The following is a 21,051-nucleotide window of genomic DNA, read 5'->3' on the forward strand; positions in this document are numbered from 1 at the left end:
ACACCTGAGAAGAACTAGCCCTGCACATTCCAGTATTGCAGCCTACAGCAGTTGTCACTGACTTGCAGACTTTGGGCAAAACCCACCTGTTTTTAATATTAATGCAGTAATGTTAGTTCATCTGGAAGTAAGACGTGCTCACATTTTAAAAGTACAAGCATTACTTTGGATTCTAAGTTAAATTTTTGCCAAGGCATAGTTTTCTTTATTCCATTTTAATTTAGCTCAGGTTTTATATTTCTGTTCTGAATTTTCACAGCTAATAAAACCTGGCTTTCCTTTATAGTTAACTATAGGTAGTTAACTGCACTACCTATAATACTGAGTTTCCTGTAGATGTTCTGTGGAGGGTGTGGATCCTGATTTGAATCTCTGTAGTGTTGTGGGTGTCTGCAGTAGATTGATGATCACATTGCATTTGGCTTAGTAACATTTAGCTTGCTAGATTATGCATACTACTATTCTCTTTAACCTAGAGTTCTGTTTCACTTTAAAGTTTTGATGCTTTGAAGTATTAACTGGAATATTCTTTTTTTTTTTTTCAGCTTTTCCAAAAATGTCAATTAATAGAACGAATACTTGAAGCCTGGGAAATGAATGAGAAGAAACAGTAAGTAAATTGTTTTTTTGAAAGGAATTCAGTTTGGTTGGTAATATGAGGAAAATAATACCTCCTTGCCCTAGTCAGAAAAAAATGGAAATAATTACATGATACTGGCCATTTTACAATTTAAACTTTTCCCCAGATTATTTCATTGTAACAGTTGTTTTTATAATACTAATAATTTCTTGTTAGGTCCTCTTGTTTTTGGGGCAAAACAAGTGAGTTCGGAGTGTTCCCCACCTCTGTGCTGCCTTTGAAACTTCCTGGTCCTTTTTGAATGGCTACTGTTCTAAGAGTTATAAGGTTAAAGTTAAGTCCTTGATGATGTGACTTAGTGTATTTGTCCTGGTCACCTTATGCTCAGAACAGAAGGTATCACGTACATATTTTCATTGTAGAGAAGAGTTGCTTTGTACAGGGACCTAGAGGAAAAAAATTGCTCAGTGTTTTCTTTTTAGAAAATGTTTGTTAGCTGATTGGCAAGGTTATGTGAAGTATTAGTTGATACATGTAAGTAGCTTTGTTACACAAAACGTTTTCTTACAGGTGTTGTCTGTAACAGCATTCCTCTCTAGTGCCCTGGAAGCCTTTATGTCACCCCGTAGATTCTGAAGCATGGTGGCATAAGGGCGTGTTTGGGAAACACTCTGAAGGCATGCTTCTGTGTTTGTTTTTAAGACAGGTTTATTGAGATATAATTCTCATATGGTAAAGCTCATTTTAGGTGTACATTCCTAGGAATTCTGACTGATGCCTGAAGTCACCATCACCACAATCAAGACATTTCTGTCACCCCCAAAATTTCTCTCATGGTCCTTTGTAGTTGATCATTTCCCAGCATTCTTGTTATGTGTCTCTGTGTCTCCAGGAAAGCTAGATGACTCTTGGGAGTCAGCCTTACTTTGTGAGGTTTGATTTTTTTTTTTTAAATCGTTTAATAAGCACTGCTACTAGGGTTTTGATTTGGCTTCATGTGGGAAATTGGCATTTTGTTTGTTTGTTTGTGGCAAGGGGCTAGTATTGGTAGACCTCAGATACATTCTTCCAAATGGAGCTCTTTGGAGATGCTGTTTGTGGCCCAGTTGACATCTCTGGTTATATGTCTGACTCCGTCTTGGCTTCTCTGTGTCCTTCCCAACCTCCAGTCTTCTTGCTGCCTCCTCATCTGGCCAGGGCTCAGATATCCTTTGTGCCCTGCTCTCCTGGTGAGTCCCGTTTTCTGGAGGCCTGGTGAATACCATTCCCTCTGTCTAGGGGGATCCCGAAAGAACTTTCCTTGTTTCCTTGCACAACAGCCTGAAGCAGTTTGAAGCTGTGGGTCACCTTAGAGATGGGCCTTTGTTTTCTTTCACTTGTGTACTTGAGGGTGTGCAGAAGAGTGACTCAGTTGCCTGTAGGTAACACCTGGCTCTCTGGATCTTACTGAAGAACTAAAAGAGACTCTGAGCAACTCAGTGAAGATTGACTCTGGCCAGGCACGGTGGGAGATGCCTGTAATCCCACTGCTTTGGGAGGCTGAGATGGGAGGATTGGTTGAGGCCAGGGGTTCGAGACCAGTCTGGACAACATAGGGAGATCCTGGCTCTACAAAAAATTAGCCGGATGTGGTGGTACTTGCCTATAGTCCCAGCTACTCAAGAGGCCGAAGTGAGAGAATTGCCTGAGCCCAGGAGTTTGAAGCTGCAATGAGCTGTGATTGCACCACTGCACTCCAGCCTGGATGACAAGCAAGACCTTGTCTCTACCTAAATAATCAACCCTGTACTTCTTACCCTTAGGCACCCCCAAGCCCTCTAAGATTCTCTAGCAGATACTTTATTTTCCAAGCAAGCCTTCAAGCATAGGATGTTTTTTTTTTCTTATTGCTCCTGAAAGGCTTTTCTCTCTCTAAGCAAAAATCTCTGCAGTGTTTGTTCCCTGCTATCTGCAGTCAAAAATCTTTCGTTTGATAGAGCTTAAAATCTTGGCACTTTGTAAATAGGTAGAGAAATCAGATTAATATGAGTTTACTTATTTTATATATATATATATATATATATATATATATATATATATAATTTTTTTTTTTTTGAGACGGAGTCTTATTTTGTCACCCAGGTTGGAGTGCAGTAGCACAATCCTGGCTCACTGCAGTCTCTGCCTACCGGGTTCAAGAAATTTTCCTGCCTCAGCCTCCTGAGTAGCTAGGATTTCAAGTGTGCACCACCACGCCTGGCTAATTTTTGTATTTTTAGTAGAGATGGGGTTTTGCCATGTTGCCCAGGATGGTCTCAAACTCCTGACCTCAAGTGATCCACCTGTGTTGGCCTCCCAAAGTGTTGGGATTACAGGCGTGAGCCACTGTGCCTGGCCTGATACGAATTAAGTGTAAAGATTGATCATGGTTGGGAAGATGAGACCTTAAATGGGAAAAGGACAAAGACTGTTTGTTTGCATGTGTTCAGAATGGTGTATGGTCAAGTACTAGTTGACTGTCTCCTATCTTGGCCAAGTCTCACATCAGCTAATATCTTAACTTGAGACATGTCATTGGTAGATAATTATTTCTATTCATTGATATAATAAAAATTTGCTATCTTTTAAGAAAATGAACCAGCAGAATTCTTACCTCAGTTCCTTATAATCTGATTAAGGTTTGAAAAAGTTTCATTAAAAAGATGTAAAATAAAATCACAATAACATTAGGCATCAGAGAAGGTTTATTTGATCTTTTAAAAAATAATGTGTTATTGACAGTGAGTGATGATTTTTGAGATTCGAATAAACTGTGGCCTGTTGACTGAGGCTGCCATATAATCTTTTACAATTTCACACCCCTCCCTGACCATGCTGCATGGTCATATTCTGGCACCTTCCATTCCTTTGTTTTTCTTTTCTTTTCTGTCCATCGTCATTTTCTTCAGTGCCTTCAGGGTTTAAAATGATTGTTTAAAAGTCCGCAGTATTTACCGAGTGTTTCATCACTTCATCCTATCAGGAATCTGAGTATTTGTCCTTTACCTCTTGTCAGGGCTGAGGGAGGAAGACGGCATGGTTACATGGGACACCTAACGAGGATAGCTAACTGTATCGTGCACAGCACTGACAAGGGCCCCAACAGTGCATTAGTGCAGCAGCTTATCAAAGGTAAGTTATTTGTGAAATTTGAATTACATTTTTGTTGGGTTGCAGGAAGGATTTAAGGGTCAAGTAGAAATGCATGTAGCATTTTTAATAGTGATTTGTGGGACTTCTTTATATTTGGCAAATTATGTATTTGAATGAGGTTCTTGAGAATGTGTTTGAACAGTGTTGTTTTTTGGTTGTATTTATGTTCATGTAGTTACAGACCATTCCATAAGCATTGGCAGGCTTGGCTGGATTCAGCATATAAGAGTCACCTATTGTCATTCTTAAAGAGCATTGCTTGGTGAATCATGCTTTTGAGTATTGTGAGTGTGAAGTACTCATATGCTAGCAGTTGAGCCACTTCAGCTATAATTTTGCCTTTTATTTTCTGAAGGCCTCTATATAGCCTCTGAATTAAGTTTCTTTAACTGGAATATTAGGGCATTTATCAGCATTTCTTTGATGTCGCTGTCACTAAAATGAGGGGTATTGGCTTCTAAAGGACTCTTTCTGTATAGCATTTCAGTTTAATCAGCCCAAGCTTATTTGGAAGAAACTATATGGATGCTTTTTTACACTGGCCCCAAGCCATGAGCCTTCTTCTAAAATGAGAGAACTGTGTACTCTGGGTTTTTGTACCAACAGGATTACCAATCCTGAGACCTATTCTGAATGTGAACAGTCTTTAACATCCATGGTACAGAATTTGTTCAGTTAAAATCATTTCCCAGTGGGTCTTCCATTTTTTCTTAAGAATGTTTGTTTGTTCAAGAGGCTATTCCCTGTTGAATGTGCACTAAAACCACAGTTGTCACCAGGGATGGAAAAAGTGGTGTGTGCCCACTTCTAATTTTGCTTCTTGAGAGAGGCATAAGAGGTATAAGCCTCTTCCTTGGGCCATTTCACCACACAGTTTATCTTTATGTCCTAACTAAGAAGAAATGGCCATGTGATATGACTGAGTTTTTAGATCAGACTTTCCTTTATGGAAGCTGCTTGCCAGGTGGTACATGTGTACACTTCTGTGAGTGTGCACACATGCATGGCTGTTTTAAACCAGAATTATCAGATGACTAGTTAGGCCTCTAAAATTACGTCATGGTTTGATTTTCTCAGAAAAGCAGTTGTTTATCCTTTTCTTTAACATTTCTCTAGAAGGTAGAATTTCACTATTACCTGTGTATCCACGTTGGCCCATGACACAAATATTTAGGAAACATGATCTTAGAGCAATTTGAAAAGCCATACTAGGTTCTGTGGAACATTCATTGGCCAGCTGCCAATGAGAGCATTTCAAGAAAGTGTGCAGGAGCTGTCATTTGCAGCATTTTCTAGACTTAACTTGACCATGGAAAAAGATCCCCCTACCCCCGACACGTTAAACACCTACCACCTTTCTCAGAAAAGCTTGTTGGAAACACACTTTCCAGGTTAAGCTTCTACCAGAGCATTTTCAGAAACTTGTTAAGTTCACAAGCTACCTTAGGGCTCTTGGCCTCATCAAGCCTATACCATTGGGTAGGGGGATTCTGGTTCCTGAAAGTCCATGGGATTTGGGCCTATGGAAGGTTTAATAATTCCATTTCTCTAAGAGCACTGGGCTGGCTGTCACCCAGTTTCTCAGCTGATAGGGCCTGCTCACCATTGATGAACCAGGTGAGTAGGCCCACTTTTATATTACCTGCTTACTTTATTTGTCTCCGTGGAGGTCATTGTGGTGATAATGCTTTTTTGCTTTTCTCACTCTGAAGATCTTCCCGACGAAGTCAGGGAACGATGGGAGACGTTCTGCACAAGCTCCTTAGGAGAAACTAACAAGAGGAACACGGTAGATCTAGTAGGTTTTACAAGGTTACATTTTTATTCTTTCAGTGCTCTTAGCCTTTGCCCATTTATTCAGAAAGATGTAAAAGATCTTCCATTTACCTCAGTAACTGTGAGCCAAAGATAAATTCTTATCTCTTTACCAGGGAGAGAGGTCAGTATTCACAATATTCTTGCCCATTTGTCTAGTCCACTCCTAATTACCTGCCTGGGATGACAGAAGGATATTGAGAAGTCACTGATTTCTGCTCCACATCCTACTTAGTGTCCATTTCCCTCCATGCCCTGCTGCCGAGCACCTCAACAGCCTCTTGCCTTCCTTTCATTCTGCTGGGTTTGTGGCCACATGCCACTGATAACCCTGGGTGCTTAGGAAAGCGAAAGATTCAGTTGGATATTTTTCTGATATTATTGAGTTGAGTATACCCTCGTTTTACATCATTCCCAATGGGGGAATATTTTGTAGATGACTTTGAAACCCCAGCTTTAAAATTTTTTTACCAGAATTGGGACTTTGAGCCAGGGAATAATGGCATTGATAATTTTTTTAAAAATTATATTGGACTTTGGAATGTATTTTTTGGTTTTTAAACACATTTAAGTTTTAAGGTAAGTATTGCTTTTTTCTGCTTTTAAAGATGGGGAAAGCATTTCCTTTTACAAGTACATGCCAGCTGATAGTCGAGGGGTGGCCTTTGCTTAGACAGAAGCAGCACGTGACTCGACATTGAAGTGTTTATGTTTGGCGTTTAATTCTATATTTCAAATTTGGCAGTGGCAGTCTTGAATTTCTAATATGCAGTAACACCTTGACTGTTAGGAATTCAATGATCTGGCAGCCTGAAGCAACAGGGAAGCAGGCTCTGAAAGCCAGAGAGCAGCCACTTGGTCCTCCTGTGTCACTCCCTGGAGGGCTGTGCCCCCTACTTTGTAGATTGCCTAAAAATATGGTCATCTTTTTCCAGACTCCTGACAGAGTCACACTTTTTAAGCGGGGAATAATGATAGAATTAGGAAGTATTAAGAGTTGGAAGAATTATGAAGTTGAGGTAACTATTAAAAGGAAGCTATGTGGGGCCATTTAATTAAAATAGACCTAAGGCCTAATAGCCCGAGTGTCTCTGTGTACCACAGCCCAGCAGAGAAAATGACATTAGTATTGACAGCCCTGGGTCATCAAGGAAGGGTTAAGTCATTTTTAATGAATATTTTACCCATTGTAGATAGATACTCGGACTATCGTTTAACTTGAGTGTTCTGGATAATCAGGGTTTTTTTTGTAGAATGGAATTGTCCTCTCCCATACTGTTAAATCATACTGCTTAATTTTGGAGGTTCCCACGTTGATTCCTTTGCAGGCAATATAGTCTCTTTTAAGGGGACTATTGTCTTGTCTTATAAAGGAATATTTAGTAATCTGATTTTGTTTGGGAAACTTCTTTTAAAATTATCCTTTGATTGGCTTAAAAGTTAGAAGTCAAAAATGTCCAATTAAGCTTGTTACCAGACTTTTAAACAATTGTTTTTATCTTAGGTAACTCAAGCATATTTCTTTTGTGAGCAGTTCTGTAATAAAGAAGGACTTCATTACAATTCAGATAATGCTCACTTACTGTATAGTATGCTGTCAGCAGATCTGCTCTGGGATTGTGTGTAAATGTTACTACATATATCCCCATAGAAGGGTGTGGTCATCCCGCAAAAATAAAACGTTCAGCCCCTGGTAGACTGTGTTAGAAAAAAATTATTTTGGGCTCCATCTGTCACTCAGATTGCGTCTCGGTTCTTCTTTGCTTGCTCTGCTTTTCTGCCATCATACTCGGACTGCATAATCTAAAGTCAAACAAAATCATAAGTTGGCTTATAAAGCAAAAGTGGTTAGATTGATAGGGCCCTTTAACATTACCTATATCCCCTGTTGAGTTAGCCCCACTCCAGAATTTTGCTGTCTGTTGAGACTTTCAGGTGGATCTAAATACTTCTTCAATTCTTTATTCCCGAGCCCTTTCTTAAATACCACTTCCGTTTAGTCTTAAGTCCTTCTGATAGGGAGTTTTGCTTTGTAGTATTGTGAGGGCTACAGCTATTCCAAGTGTTTAATATGCTTATATAGTAGGTCTAGGCACCAAGGAGATTTTAATCGTATCCTCCAGGCCATTCATTTTCCTGTCCAGAATGTGTTCAAGCTGTATCTCAGTGGGGTTGGGTACCATGTTTCAGGAAAATACGCAATTGTAAATATTATTATAAACACAACTTGGTAAATGCAGTGGGCCTTACCCTTGCAAAAGTGACATAGAAAAAGAGTGCCCATGTTTGAAATGTGGTAGTTACACTTGCCTTCTTAACATGCTTGTCACTGGAATTGGTAGTTAAATAATAGCTTGCTTATGCCCTGTTCCCTTTCCCAAATAGATAAGATTAGATACACTGCCTTGACTTCCTTGATTTTAGAATAGCTTGGCTACCTCTCTGGAAGTCATTTCAGGTATATTCATAGAAGTGGAGTCAGCCCAGTTCAGCACCACGTGCTTAAGTTAGTGCATTGTTAACCTGACATGTTATTTTTCTGTTTACAGCAAGGATACATTCATTTATACACTGAACACTTTCCTGTCCTATTGGCTGTGTACCTGAGGACTTGCTCACTTCTTTTGGATAAGCTGTGCCCAGCCCCAGGCTCCTATCACTTCTGTAACATTTTAGTTAAATTCTCTCTGAGATACTCGAAGTGCTTTAATCTTTTGGCTCCATCATACCCAAATACGTGCACAGCAGATTCATATACTCCCTGTGTTTTTATGTTTGGAGTTTATGATGAACAAAAGTTGGTGTTTTAATTATATCCAAAGACCTCTGTGTTTTGACCAAGTCCCCAAACTAAAAATTGGCAAGGATTTAGGTAGAGTGAATTTAGAGAACATAGGACATGTTTTTGTACTGACTTTGAAAAATTTGAGTTTGTTTCATTTTTTGCCCTCTTCCCCAAGGGGGAAAATGTATTTAAAATTGTTGATGCTTCTTTCCCATCATTGACAAGACAGTGTGTAGAAGAAGAGATGTAGAATGATCTGAATGTGTGCCTGTATTAATCACCAGGAGTTTCCGCAGGTTGGGGTGAAACCTGAAAGTGGGTGTTTCTAACTAATCCTAGGTTATGTTGATGCTGGGGGTCCTCAGTGGGACCATACTTTGAGGATCAAGGAATAAGTCTCTAGCTTTCACTTGTCACTAATACGGGCCTCAGAGTTTAACAGTCATTTCACACTTCTGATTTCCCTTGGGAACCTAATCATCCAAAGTAAACACCAATTTGCTTTTTCCTGTAACAACAGTTAACAAAACGAAAATTTTATTTCGAAAGAAGATAATATCTCCGAAACTGTGTGCACTACAACAAGAGTGCACTTTACTTACGGTATATCTAGCTTGGCAAGAGTGTTATATACTTGTTGCTTTTTGCTGTATTTGTTTATATTCAGTGATTATTAGTATTCATTAATTCAGTAAATATTTGAGTGCCTACAATGTGCCAGACACTGAAGATACAGTACTAGACAAGATTGGCAAAAATTTCTGCTTCAGTGGAGATGGATAAACAAATGAGTAAGAGACACGTGTGCACACACAATATGTGTAATATACAGTCATGCACTGCATAATGTTTCGGTCAGCAATAGACCGCATATATGACAGTAGTCCCATAAGATTAGAATACTCGATTTTACTGCACGTTTTTTATTTGTAGATACACAAATACTTATCACCATGCTCCAGTTGCCTCAGTATTCAGTGCAGTACTGTGCTGTGCAGGTGTGTAGCCTAGGAGCAATTGGTTGTAGCAGATAGCCCAGGTCTGCAGTAGGCTCTACCATGTGAACTCTATGATGTTCGCATGATGACAGAATTGCCTTTGTCACAATGTATCCTTGTCATGAAACAATGCATGACTGCGCGTGTTTCAGATGGTAAGTGCTAAGGAGCCAACGCATGGGAGGGAGTTAGGGAGTCTTTGGGGCAGGTGTACAGTTTAAAATCTGGTGTCAAGGAAAATCTCACTGGGAAGGTGCATTTGTGGAGTGGAGAGGGAAGAGCAAAATGCAGAGGACTCGAATTTGGGTTGTTCCTAGTGTGTGCAGGGACTTGCATGTTGTCCCGTGTGGATGTAACAGTAAGCAAAGGAGAGAACAGAAGGACTTGAGGCCAGAAAGGCGCCAAACAGCCAGATTTTCTACAGCTTTTTAGTCTATGGTAATTTTGATCTAATGAGAATTTGTTAGGTTTTGAACTAAAAAGTGCCATACCTTGATGTATATTTTTAAAAGATGGCTGTGGCTATTGGGTTGAGAACAGACTGCTAGGTGGGGCAAGAGCTAGGAGGAGGGAGACTGGGGAACTGCCAGCTGTGACATTAGTCCAGGTGAGGGGAGTGCTGGCTTGCACTGGGGAGCTGATAACAGACTTGGTGAAGGGCGATGGGTCTGGAGAGGGATTTTGGCTCCATTTTGAAGGTAGAGTGGACATGGTGGGTGGGCTGGAGGAAACAAGATGACCGAGGTTTCTAGTTGAAGAAGAGTGAAGGTGGCAGTGACTGAGCTGAAGATGCCTCAAAAGGAGTGTGTTTGGAAGTGTAGATCAGGAATTCAGTTTTGTATACATCTGAATAATGAACCAATGGGATTCTGATTAGCAAGTTTCCCCCATGGGTAAATAATCTTTTTTTTTTTTTTTTTTTTTTTTTTTTTTTTTTTTTTTTTTTGAGACAGAGTCTTGCTCTGTCACCCAGGCTGGAGTGCAGTGGCACGATCTCGGCTCACTGCAAGCTCCGCCTCCTGGGTTCACACCATTCTCCTGCCTCAGCCTCCTGAGTAGCTGGGACTACAGGCACCCGCCACCGTGCCCGGCTAATTTTTTGTATTTTTAGTAGAGACGGGGTTTCACCATGTTAGCCAGGATGGTCTCGATCTCCTGACCTCGTGATCCGCCCGCCTCGGCCTCCCAAAGTGCTGGGATTGCAGGCGTGAGCCACTGCGCCCAGCCTAGGTAGATCATCTTTTTAGCTCATTTTGTTAATGATTTCAGACTCAGATGGTGTAGGTAGAATCAGACTCACATCTTCCATTAATGTAATTATGAAGATGTGTGTGCATTGTGTTACTAATAAGTTGCTAAAACTAGTTTCATTTTGGAGAAAGCTTTTTTAAATATCTTCTAGTATTGCTTTGAGGATCCAGTTTAAGTAGAACATGCGAAGGGGAGGTCACAATGTCTGGCACATAGTAGTTCAATAAAAGTTAGTTTCTTTCTCATCTTTAATTAAAGAGTGTTAAAATCTTATTTTGTAGGAAAAAGCGAAAGTGTGAATGAGGATACATCGAATCCTATTTTAACTTAGACAGCAAGACTTGGCTAAGAGTCGCCAACTCTGTTTTGTCCTATTTTGCTCAGTTCTTTGCATGGCCTTCTATTTCTGTGCCCCACCATGGGGTTACACCCCTAAAACACACTGGCCCAGCATGATATGTGTGCTGGCTTGCCAGCCAAGTGGCCCGAAGCTCCTCTTGAGTGCACTGCAGTACAACCACTTGACTTGCTCTTTAACATAGTCCTGTGAGATGCCAGCTGCCATGACCAAGCAGTATTCCCACTCCTCCTCTACACTCTGGCAAGGCTTTCCTGGAACATCCCCATGCCCACATCTTTACCCAGTAACTCACTAAAGCCACTCTTGACTCAAGCAGGTGCCGTTCCTTGATCACGGAATCTACCTTTGATTTCATCAGGCCAGATTCACAAACAGAATGGGAGTGCTTTATCTATACCTTTGAGAGGATGGAGAGTGAAATAACTGGAAACACTGGGTTATCACAGCTTAATTTCATCCAGGCTTGGTGTCTTTACCAAAGATGGTTGGGGAAAGGAAGGGAGATTCATCTTGTTCAGGCAGTGATTTGCTCAGAATTTTACAAGACATACCCTATACAGACCTATTTGAATTCTACTGTGGGTTTATTGAACCAGTGTTGGAACAACTTCGCAAAACAGACCAGGCCAGTTAGGTACAGCCTCATGAGTTGGCAGGTAGCAGCAGCCCGTGTCTTCCCTAAGATGACATTCCCTGCCCAAAACACTTCTGTGAAAAGTACAGAATAAACAGCTCAGAGAATACAGTGTAAGTTACCCGCAGAAATATAGTACTTCTTTCTAGAAGTTTACAAACTGTCCATGTTTATCCCTTGCCATATAGCAATCACTACTATTAGTGCTGTACTTAATTATTTGTTTATCTGATTTCTAATTGTTAATGCTTCCCCCAAATATTGTGTGACATTTGTAATTAATAAAAATCACTTAACGATGAATTGGTGAGCAGTTCATGTTTGTGTTTTTGCTTAATTACTGAAAGTTGGTTGTAAGTTCTGGGGGCAGGGTGCACATTTTCAAGGGTAGATGATTTGGGGTCTTTTGTGAGTGGGAAGCTGTCGACTCAAGTCACATTTAGTACTACTAGACAGTGGTTTTCTTAGTGTGGGCAGGAAGTCCAAGAATTTGAAATGGTTATATTTAAACCTGACCTTTTGAGTGGCGCACTGGCGCACTGGTAATCCCTGGGGATTGCAGTTGGACCCTGCAGGCCCCGTACATAGAAAGGGTTTCTGTGTTTCATCTGTGCCATTACCTCTGTCTTTCTTTTTGTAAACATTTAATTGGAGGTGATTATCAAAATCACTTAAATGGAGTAACTCACCTTTCTTCTTGTCTGTTTTCTGGCGATGTCAGTAGTGAGGAGTGGAATAACTAGAAGGGAGTGGCAGGGCAGCAGCCTGGCCCGAGGGAAGGAAGGGTGCCCTTGACACATTGGGCGGGTTTGGCAGCTTAACTGTGACTGACTTTCATTTTTTTCTGTTACACGTTGAGAAAAAAACTAAATGTGATTTTTCCATAAAAATGCTGATACAAATGTCCAAAACTTTTCTATGTTAAATAGTCTTTTACATTTTTATGCATATAGGTTACAACCTGCCATATTCATTCATCCAGTGATGATGAAATTGACTTTAAAGAAACGGGTTTCTCACAGGATTCTTCTTTGCAGCAAGTGAGTCACGCCTAAAGCTTTGCTTTTTGTTTTTATTTTAAATGCTTAGTTTAGTTGCCTTTTATGAATCAGCTTCAGAGTCAGATTATGTATTAGAATGTGATTTGGGGTTACTTATTAGTTAGACCAAAGCATTTAAAATAGGAAGTGCTGGGTAAATGAAAGATAGATTTGTATTGGTTATGTTTCAAGGGATTGTTCCATCCCTGATAACAGTGATGAGTCAAGTACATTTTCAGAAGATTTGAATGAACTGAATAGTTAAGAAGGCATCTCACACATGCTTGTTACACAGACCTTTACAATAGTTGAGTTGTTGCTTAAAGATTTGTGTAGTAGAGATCTGCTGGTAAAAATAATAGAAATAAGACGTTTAAAATGTAAGTAAAAGTAAACTCTCACGAATACCCCTGATGTAAGTTCTATTATAGTTACATCTAAAGTAAATTTTTAGTTGAAGTAATTCATTGCAACCCCTCTCTGCCTGCCCCTGAATTTATCATCTCCCTTTACCACCTGCTTATAATCTTTGTGGGGGAAAGCCTCGATATGAATAATAAATGTACTGATTTATCATCCATTGTTAGTTCTTGGAGAAGTGACAAATGATTTCACTTCTCTACTAGGTATGGGAGTGAAAAACAGAAGCCCTTTTGCAGGCTATCAGCTTTTCATATGGAGAAGTTGTCCTTAGCCAGGACCAGAATGCCTTGGCTTACATGTTGCTTTGGTGCAGCAATAGAATTAACGGGGACACCTTCCCACCCAGCACAGAATGTTGTTGCTTGGCTTCTTTTTTTTAGTCTCTAAGCTTCGTCTTAGATGAAGCTTCACATGCTTATGCTGGCCCTGTCTTTTGGCTTGTAAGTCTTACACCTGTCATATTCCAGTATTGGTTGAGCTAAGCAATTGTTTGATTTTAATACTCAGACAGTTTAGAGTTTACCTTTCCCAAATAGGTCTGAAGTAGCATTTCAGCATTTGGCTGACTTCTCTGTTGATTCTTGACACTTCTGCCTTTGACAGCAGATTTCCGGAGGTTAGGGTCAGGAAGTAGCCAGTCCCTAGGGGGCACTGTTGAGCAGCTCTCACAGCTTCCTGCCTTGGCTTGCTATTAGGCTGCACGGGCCGTGGCGGTGGCCCACCATGGCTCATTGTGAGCCCTCGTGCCTGCAAGCAGCCCTTTTCCCAGAGCGCTCTGGTATTGTCCCAGGAAGCACCTGGACAATGGGCTCTCCCTCCACTGAGGCACCTGTAGAGTACTGAAATAGTCCACCCAGTTGGCCATGAACCTGAGTGCTGTACATTGGTCCACCCCTAGAATGAAGCTTGATGATATCAAATGTAAATTATCAAGGTAATTTTGTACCTGTTGAAATACAGCTTTAAGAAAAAGAACACCTTACTAGTAATAATGATAAACTTGGAACTTCGGCTGTCAATTTAGTCTAGATTTGGTTAAATTTAGGCATTTGGAAAGTGGATTCCTTTATTTCTCATGATATCTGGTTCCAGGGTCATACCTGTTCTGGGGAGAGTTTTCTTACATTATTTTGTTTGTTTGACCGACAGCTCACGTGCGTACGAAGCCATTTCATTCACAAAACTAACTTACAACAGCCCTTGCCAAGCTCTTAGCTTGCAGAATTTACCCACTTCATATGAACTTTTCAAAGTGGAAGAATAATTACTCTTTTCTGATTGACAAGCTTCCAGTACATTTTTCTTTGCATGTTTAAACCAATCATGGATCATTTTGAAAATAAATACACTCCAAAGCACTTCTTAAAATTTTGAGAATGCAAAAAAGGTCTTGGTTAATTTATTAGAGTTTCATCATAGCCTCCATTAAGATCAGAATATTAGTTTGTAGACTTGAACTTCAAGTTCTCATTCACGTTTGAGGTTGGGCATCATGTTGATAAAGTCCCCGAATGTAGAGAGCTCAGGGCAGATAATTTAACCAGGTAACCCAGCCACGTCACCAGTGGGGAGTGCCTCCAGGCGTTTGTGCCCTGCCCATTTGCTTCTCCCTTTAGCCTTGTCTGGTCTCCTAAAGTCTGGTGTTTGACTCCCCACCTCCCTGATTCTGCCTTATAGAGTTTGGAGGGTGAGGCCCCCATGGAGGTCTGGAGAATTCAGACTGACTGCCGCATATGGGCTCTGAAACACTGACTCATCATTTCCCACTACCTCACATCACATACGGGCTTGCTGGTAGGCAATTAGGCCACATTTAGTTGACCAGTAGTTTCTGTTGCCTGGGTGGCATTACTGTTAAGAGATTTGCTTAAAGTGGTTGGCTCACTTCTCAGTGACTTGAACAGTTTCTGACTTTGGCCAGGATGACAGTACTAGGAAAGTGTGCTTTTTAAAAATAATTATACAGCTATATTGTGCTTTCCAGATATAGGTTTCTCAGAGTTCAAAGCACTTTTTATATACCTTTAAATAGGATACAATAACAGTCTTCACTTACATATATTTGTAAGTTTTGGTAGCTTTATTAGTAAAAATGAGATTTGAAATGTGAAGTTCTTTGCTAGAAGCTGTAATTGACTTAGAACTAATGAGGATTACATCTGATCATTTTCCTTTTTTCTGTGCATTATTGCATGGAAGTTACTAGTGTCTGTGTCAGTTGCTATGTATCTCTCCAGATGGATGAATAGATAAATATATATCTGTATATGTATTCTGTATGTACATGTATGTATGTATACATTCATATTTAGTATTTGCATTCTATTTTTGAAGCATTTAAAATATAACAACATTTTGGGGAATATTTCTTCCCCTTTACACCCAGGAGAATCACATTAGGATCACTAGAGGTATAACAGTTTTGAGAGAGCTGGCTGCGATGGCATGCACCTGTAGTCTGGCTGCTCTGGAGGCTGAGGTAGGAGGATTACTAGGAGGTAGGAGTCTAGGAGTTTGAGTCTAGCCTGGACAACATGGCAAGACCCTGTCTCTTAAAAAAAATTTTTTTTTGGAGGGGAAAAATAAAACAATTGGGAGGGAACTTTTCCCTCACGTGACCACATTTCTGATCTGTAGATAAACTCAGAGCGTGGTTCATGCTGCTTACTCAACAGAATCACTTCATGGTTCTTTACCAGATCTTTGAGGTACTGAGCATCTGTTTTGCCTCATAAAAGATAAAGCTGCAGTTCAGAAGAACTGATTTCTTTTTGATGTAATTAATATTAATGCTGGCTGTCATTGTCCATTCATAGGTCCAGAACTCAGCTCAGCAGCCCAGGACTTGTCCCTACCCTTCTGCTTTCAGCCAGACCCCCGTGCTCAGCCTTGGTTTACACTCCATGCCTTACCAAGTGGCCATTCCACAGCCAGTCGCTTGCTGCCCCCTGCTCCCTGCCCCCATGTGCTCATCTAATATCACCTCTGGGGGCAAGAAAGGGGGCAGCACAAAAGTGGGAGTGAGCAGAGGGGCAGTGGGTGTGCTGTTGTCTTGCATGAGCGACAAGGGAGGTTTTGGGTTCTCTCTGTCTAGTCAAACTAGACATATAGAGCTTTTCTTCAGACCTAAGCAGTATAGATACCTTCCAAAGCCTAATATAAGGTTTATTTTTAAATTATCTGCAATAATTATCCATGCCATAATTCCCTGCCACCAGAATGAGTAATCAGGAATTAATGGTAGAGGCATTTCTGCAGTGTACATCTGCAAGGTGGAATCTGGAGGCTCTGCCCATATGTGGAACCAAGGAGAAGGTGGTTTAATACAGTTACAGCTGCCTCCTTCCCAGCAAATGCCAGTGGGAGTGATGCCTTCAGTTGAGCCAACAGCCGCCTCCCTGCCCCTCATGGGCTCACCCACAGAAAACGGCAGTCTCATCTGTATGCAGCTCTGGTCACTGTATTTATTGTTTGGGTTAGAATGAGGAGGTGGCACTAGTTTGTCTTCATATGTTCTTTACTCCTGATTAATACGTAAGAACATACTTGCTGATTTCACTTGCTTCTTTGGGCCTGCTTGTTTTAAATTAGAATATCAACATTTTCCTGGGGTCCATTATAACACCCCCCCCCCCCACATTTTCAACTAAAAACCCGAACAAGTCTGGTACTCTCTAGATTTGGTGTTAAGGAAACAGAACTGGCTCCTCTGTGGGTCTTCTAGTGTTAGAGACTTTTCAGAGTGATTTTGGATAAATAGTCAAACGTTTACTCTCTTCATAAGGTAGGTAGGGTAGAAATTATTTTCGTTTTATATTCTTCCCAGCCTCTAAGACTTAATTTTTTTAAAAAAAGAAATGAAATGTCCCTGAACATTTTGTTTCTAGGATTATGCTTGTGTTCATCAGTCGGTTTTCCTCTGGTGTGATTTTGCTGTAGTAGATTGGGGGTGGAGGAGGTGGCAAGGAGGGAGGGGGTGGTCACCACTTGTTGGATCTTAGGATAAAGTTGGTTGTGTCCAGAGGTGACTGATACACCTTATAATTTCAGACTGTTCCATGTCATGTGATCACTTTAAACTAGGCTTAATCCAAACCTCTCTCTAAAGATAATTCACAATAGAGGACAGAGTGGTCACATAGTGTTTCTTACAGTGACATGTGCATTAGAATGATTTGTAGACCAAATTTCAAACGTTTCCTTTTTTGGCAAATTGTGTCTGAAATTATTTGATTTTTCTTTTAGAAAAACACACCAACTTTTATAGCCCTATGGCTATGTAAATAAGATGATTTCTGGAACACAAATGGGCAAATAGTATGTAGAATATCATTAGAATCATTATATCACTGTCACTGGTCCTGGGGTTGCCAGGCCTTTTCTGATTATCAGATGCAACAAATGACGTCCAATTTTATTGACCAGTTTGGCTTCAACGATGAGAAGTTTGCAGATCAAGATGACATTGGCAAGTGAGTATGTTTTTCTGTTTCCGCTGTTGCTCTTGCACACCCTTGCTCTTGGTAGATGTATGTGTGATTCTGCGGGATTCTTAGTCTTGAGCATTCGTGAGTGGGAGGAACCTGCTCTTTCCACGGTGTTCCTCTAGTTCCAGCAGATTGGCCCTGGGACTGGATAATTAGGACTTAAAATAACACTGCAGTGGCCGGGTGCGGTGGCTCATGCCTGTAATCCCAGCACTTTGGGGGGCTGAGGCAGGCGGATCACTTGAGGTCAGGAGTTCGAGACCAGCCTGGCCAACATGGTGAAACCCCGTCTCTACCAAAAATATAAAAAATTAGCCAGTTGTGGTGGCAGGCACCTGTAATCCCAGCTACTCAGGAGGCGGAGGTTGTAGTGAGCTGAGATGTGCTATTGTACTCCTGCCTCAGTGACAGAGCATGACGTGGTCCCTTTTTTTTGGAGACAGAGTCTCATTCTGTTGCCCCGGCTGGAGTGCAGTGGCGCTATCTTGGCTCACTGCAAGCTCCACCTCCTGGGTTCACGCCATTCTCCTGCCTCAGCCTCCTTAGTAGCTGGGACTACAGGTACCCGCCACCGCACCTGGCTAATTTGTTGTATTTTTAGTAGAGACGGGATTTCACCATGGTCTCAATCTCCTGACCTCGTGATCCGCCTGCCTCGGCTTCCCATAGTGCTGGGATTACAGGCGTGAGTCACTGCGCCTGGCCAAGACTCGGTCTTTAAAAAAAAAAAAAAAATCACTGCAAGGAAAGAAGCATTCACCTATAGGGTTTGACCTCTTTCACAGAAGCCTATTGTTATTAGATTACACTTTTAGGAATTCAAGTCACTGTTCTTAATTCTAGCTCTTAACGTTAAATAGTATTATCTATAAAGTCCTTAATCCTGGCCTGGCATAGTGGCTCACACCTATAATCCCAGCACTTTGGGAGGCCGAGCCGGGCGGATCACTTGAGGTTAGGGGTTCGAGACCAGCCCGGCCAACGTGGCAAAACCCTGTCTCTACTAAAAATACAAAAACAATAGCCAGGCTGGGTGGTGTGTGCCTGTAGTCCGAACTTCTGAGGAGGCTGAGGTGGGAGAATCACTTGAACTTGGGAGGCAGAGGTTGCAGTGAGCCAGGATTGCACCACTGCACTCCACCCTGGGCAACACAGGGAGACCCTGTCTCAATAATAACAATAACAATAATAATAATAATAAAATTATTAATCCCTGTGTTGTTGACTGGGGCATCACGTTCCAGCAGATGACCAGGTTGGCAGGAAAAGCTCTGCCCTACATGTATTCTCATCTCTAGGTGACTCATCAGAAGGTAGATTTGGGTTTTTTGCAAGAGCCAGACACACTAACCACTCATTTTGCAGTCAGGGTAAGAAGCAGAGAAATGAGAATTATTGATACTGTACAGAATTAACGAGTAGAAAATGTGTAGGTAGTTAATAGAAATGAAAACAGGTGGTCTAGCATCTGACATTGGGATAGAAGAGATTTATAAACAAAATATTTTGAGGTAGATATTATAGCTCATTGACACAGAGTTTAAGAAAAAAAATGAAGGCAGCTGGTATTTGAATATTGGATGATGATTCTCACAGGAGACACGGTTATGCCACAGACACCCAGTATCTGCTGTGGTCTTTGGAAGCAGTAAATTCTCAATAATTTGTTGAACCACAGCCAGTGGAGCCTGTTGTTTGTCACAGGTTGCAGTTTGCAGTATGTGAGAAGCTAAAATATTTTTACAGCACGCTCTTAATTGTGCTATAAACATGCCGTATGGGCACAGTGGAATGGAGGTGCCGCTGTAAACAGCAAGAGTTGAAGGCTGTTACGTGCCTTGAGAATTGGCTCATTTTAACTCAAAAAGAGCAAGAACACAAGATATTCTGTCCATACCCCAGGAGCATTCTACTCAGGCTAGGATCCACCACCTCACACCAGACCCTGCAGGTCCCTGTTTGGTGTCTCGACATTCACGTGCCTGGACTCTTGCTTCATCTTCCTAGTTAGGATCTGTAATCTCTTTACAGTCTGTATTGCATGCTTGGACTAGTGATTGAGTGGAACAAATATTTTAAGAATCATAAGATAGCCCCTCCTCTTCAAACTTATGTTTAATAAGCAATGAATTCTTTTACTCCCTCCTTGCTTTTCTAGATGATATCTTGTTAACAGCATAAGATTTCATGGGTGTCTATGTATTTTGTGTATGAGTTTGACTATCCCTGGAGAAAACTCAAGTGTCTGACAGCTTTTGTATACTTCATGTTTTGACTTGGTTCTTTGCAAATAACCTTTTTCTTGGTTATATTAGTATGGCCCATGGAACTATGGTTGTTACCATAGATGTTAAAAATCTTTTATAGGAAGGATTCAAGGGTGTCCCAAAGGCTTTATGTCTCAGAAGGCTTCTATTGCAGCCCTCCTATCCTACATAAATTCATTAATACCAAGGGAGCTGGCATCATTTAATATAAGAAGGTTGTTTCTGTTTGTTTTTTATTTATAGAGATTTTGATGATAGTGTAAATATCTTAAATTTGGAAACTTTCATAAATACGGTTTCTGTGAGCTGATAGTAATTAATGCTTCCTACACTTTTATTTTGTTTTTTTACAGTGTTTCTTTTGATCGAGTATCAGACATCAACTTTACTCTCAATACAAATGAAAGTGTAAGTATAAACTCTGTTGTGAGCAGTGTGGCACATGAGAGGTTAAAAATTGGGTGAGTCCCTGTGTGGATGCCACATGCTGGGACCCCTGTGCTCTAGAGCCCTAATCCTAAATTGGTGTTACATACTTCACTCTGTCCCACGGCCTACCTGGCACCCGTGGGCATGTGATTTTTGCAGCCCTGGTTTATGACTTGGTGGAGCTAATAAGACCAGGGTCACTTGTGATTGCAGCGTAGACACTTGACTTCAAAGAGAAGGCTGCAGTTTGACACCAACCCACTGCCTTTGACTCCTTTGTATTGCCAGGAGAGAAATGTGGACTGGGTCAGGGCAAGCCCCTCGTTACTAGGCATTTCTGTGGAAACACCGAGACAGTCGTGTCACCTGAATGGAGACAGTTTATTGATTTTATGTTGACTAGCATGAGAGACCACTGGCTTATTTGCTGATGGAGTAAGGTAGGAACTGCTGATTTGAGCCATTGAAGGTTATCACTGCTCAGCTGGACTAGTAAAAGCAAATAAGTACGGTTGCTTTTCCTTGCTAGGACAGACCTGGGACCGCATCTCCAGGACAGGGGAGGCTCCTGGGATTACAATGATGCTTTGATGAGATGAAAGAGGATATGGTCTATGCTTCTTTTTGCTAGTCTTTTTAGGGAAACCCAGTCTTTTTTTAGGGGAATTCTTGTTACGGACACAGAAACTAATGTTAGGTGTTTATATTTTATTTTGGTGTATGTGATAGGCACCATATTGTAAAGCAGTGAAAAAATGCAATTTACATTGGTAATGCTTAAGAGAAGATAACTTGACTTTAAATTTATTT

The 21,051-nt window shown here is 41.0% G+C and overlaps 1 protein-coding gene across 84 annotated transcripts in view, besides 1 other annotated feature; it reads left to right on the forward strand.

Annotated features, from left to right (window-relative positions):
- The window catches only part of PPP6R3 (protein phosphatase 6 regulatory subunit 3), a 154,583-nt gene that overhangs the window by 109,743 nt on the left and 23,789 nt on the right, over nucleotides 1-21,051 (forward strand). For 21 of the 84 annotated variants that reach the window (NR_147967.2, NM_001352379.2, XM_047427204.1 and 18 more), the window contains 6 exons: nucleotides 546-610; nucleotides 3,615-3,730; nucleotides 5,464-5,549; nucleotides 12,549-12,635; nucleotides 17,433-17,530; nucleotides 20,166-20,220. Coding sequence is in view for 77 of the 84 variants with exons in the window: in NM_001352379.2 (NP_001339308.1) it covers nucleotides 546-610; nucleotides 3,615-3,730; nucleotides 5,464-5,549; nucleotides 12,549-12,635; nucleotides 17,433-17,530; nucleotides 20,166-20,220 (507 nt within the window). In the remaining 7 variants the exon portion in view is untranslated. Of the gene's footprint in view, nucleotides 1-545; nucleotides 611-3,614; nucleotides 3,731-5,463; nucleotides 5,550-8,115; nucleotides 11,899-12,548; nucleotides 12,636-17,303; nucleotides 17,531-20,165; nucleotides 20,221-21,051 lie in introns of those variants that run through there. The other 63 variants (NR_147965.2, NM_001352360.2, NM_001352376.2 and 60 more) reach the window with 7 other exon arrangements.
- Nucleotides 13,288-13,788: an enhancer, noted in NCBI's record as "H3K4me1 hESC enhancer chr11:68351250-68351750 (GRCh37/hg19 assembly coordinates)". NCBI's record gives its function as "activates a minimal SCP1, AML or CMV promoter by ChIP-STARR-seq in primed H9 embryonic stem cells {active_cell/tissue: H9 hESC(primed)}" and the evidence as "EXISTENCE:reporter gene assay evidence [ECO:0000049][PMID:30033119]".

The sequence above is a fragment of the Homo sapiens genome, chromosome 11 (assembly GCF_000001405.40).
Source record: "Homo sapiens chromosome 11, GRCh38.p14 Primary Assembly".
NCBI classification, from domain to species: domain Eukaryota; kingdom Metazoa; phylum Chordata; class Mammalia; order Primates; family Hominidae; genus Homo; species Homo sapiens.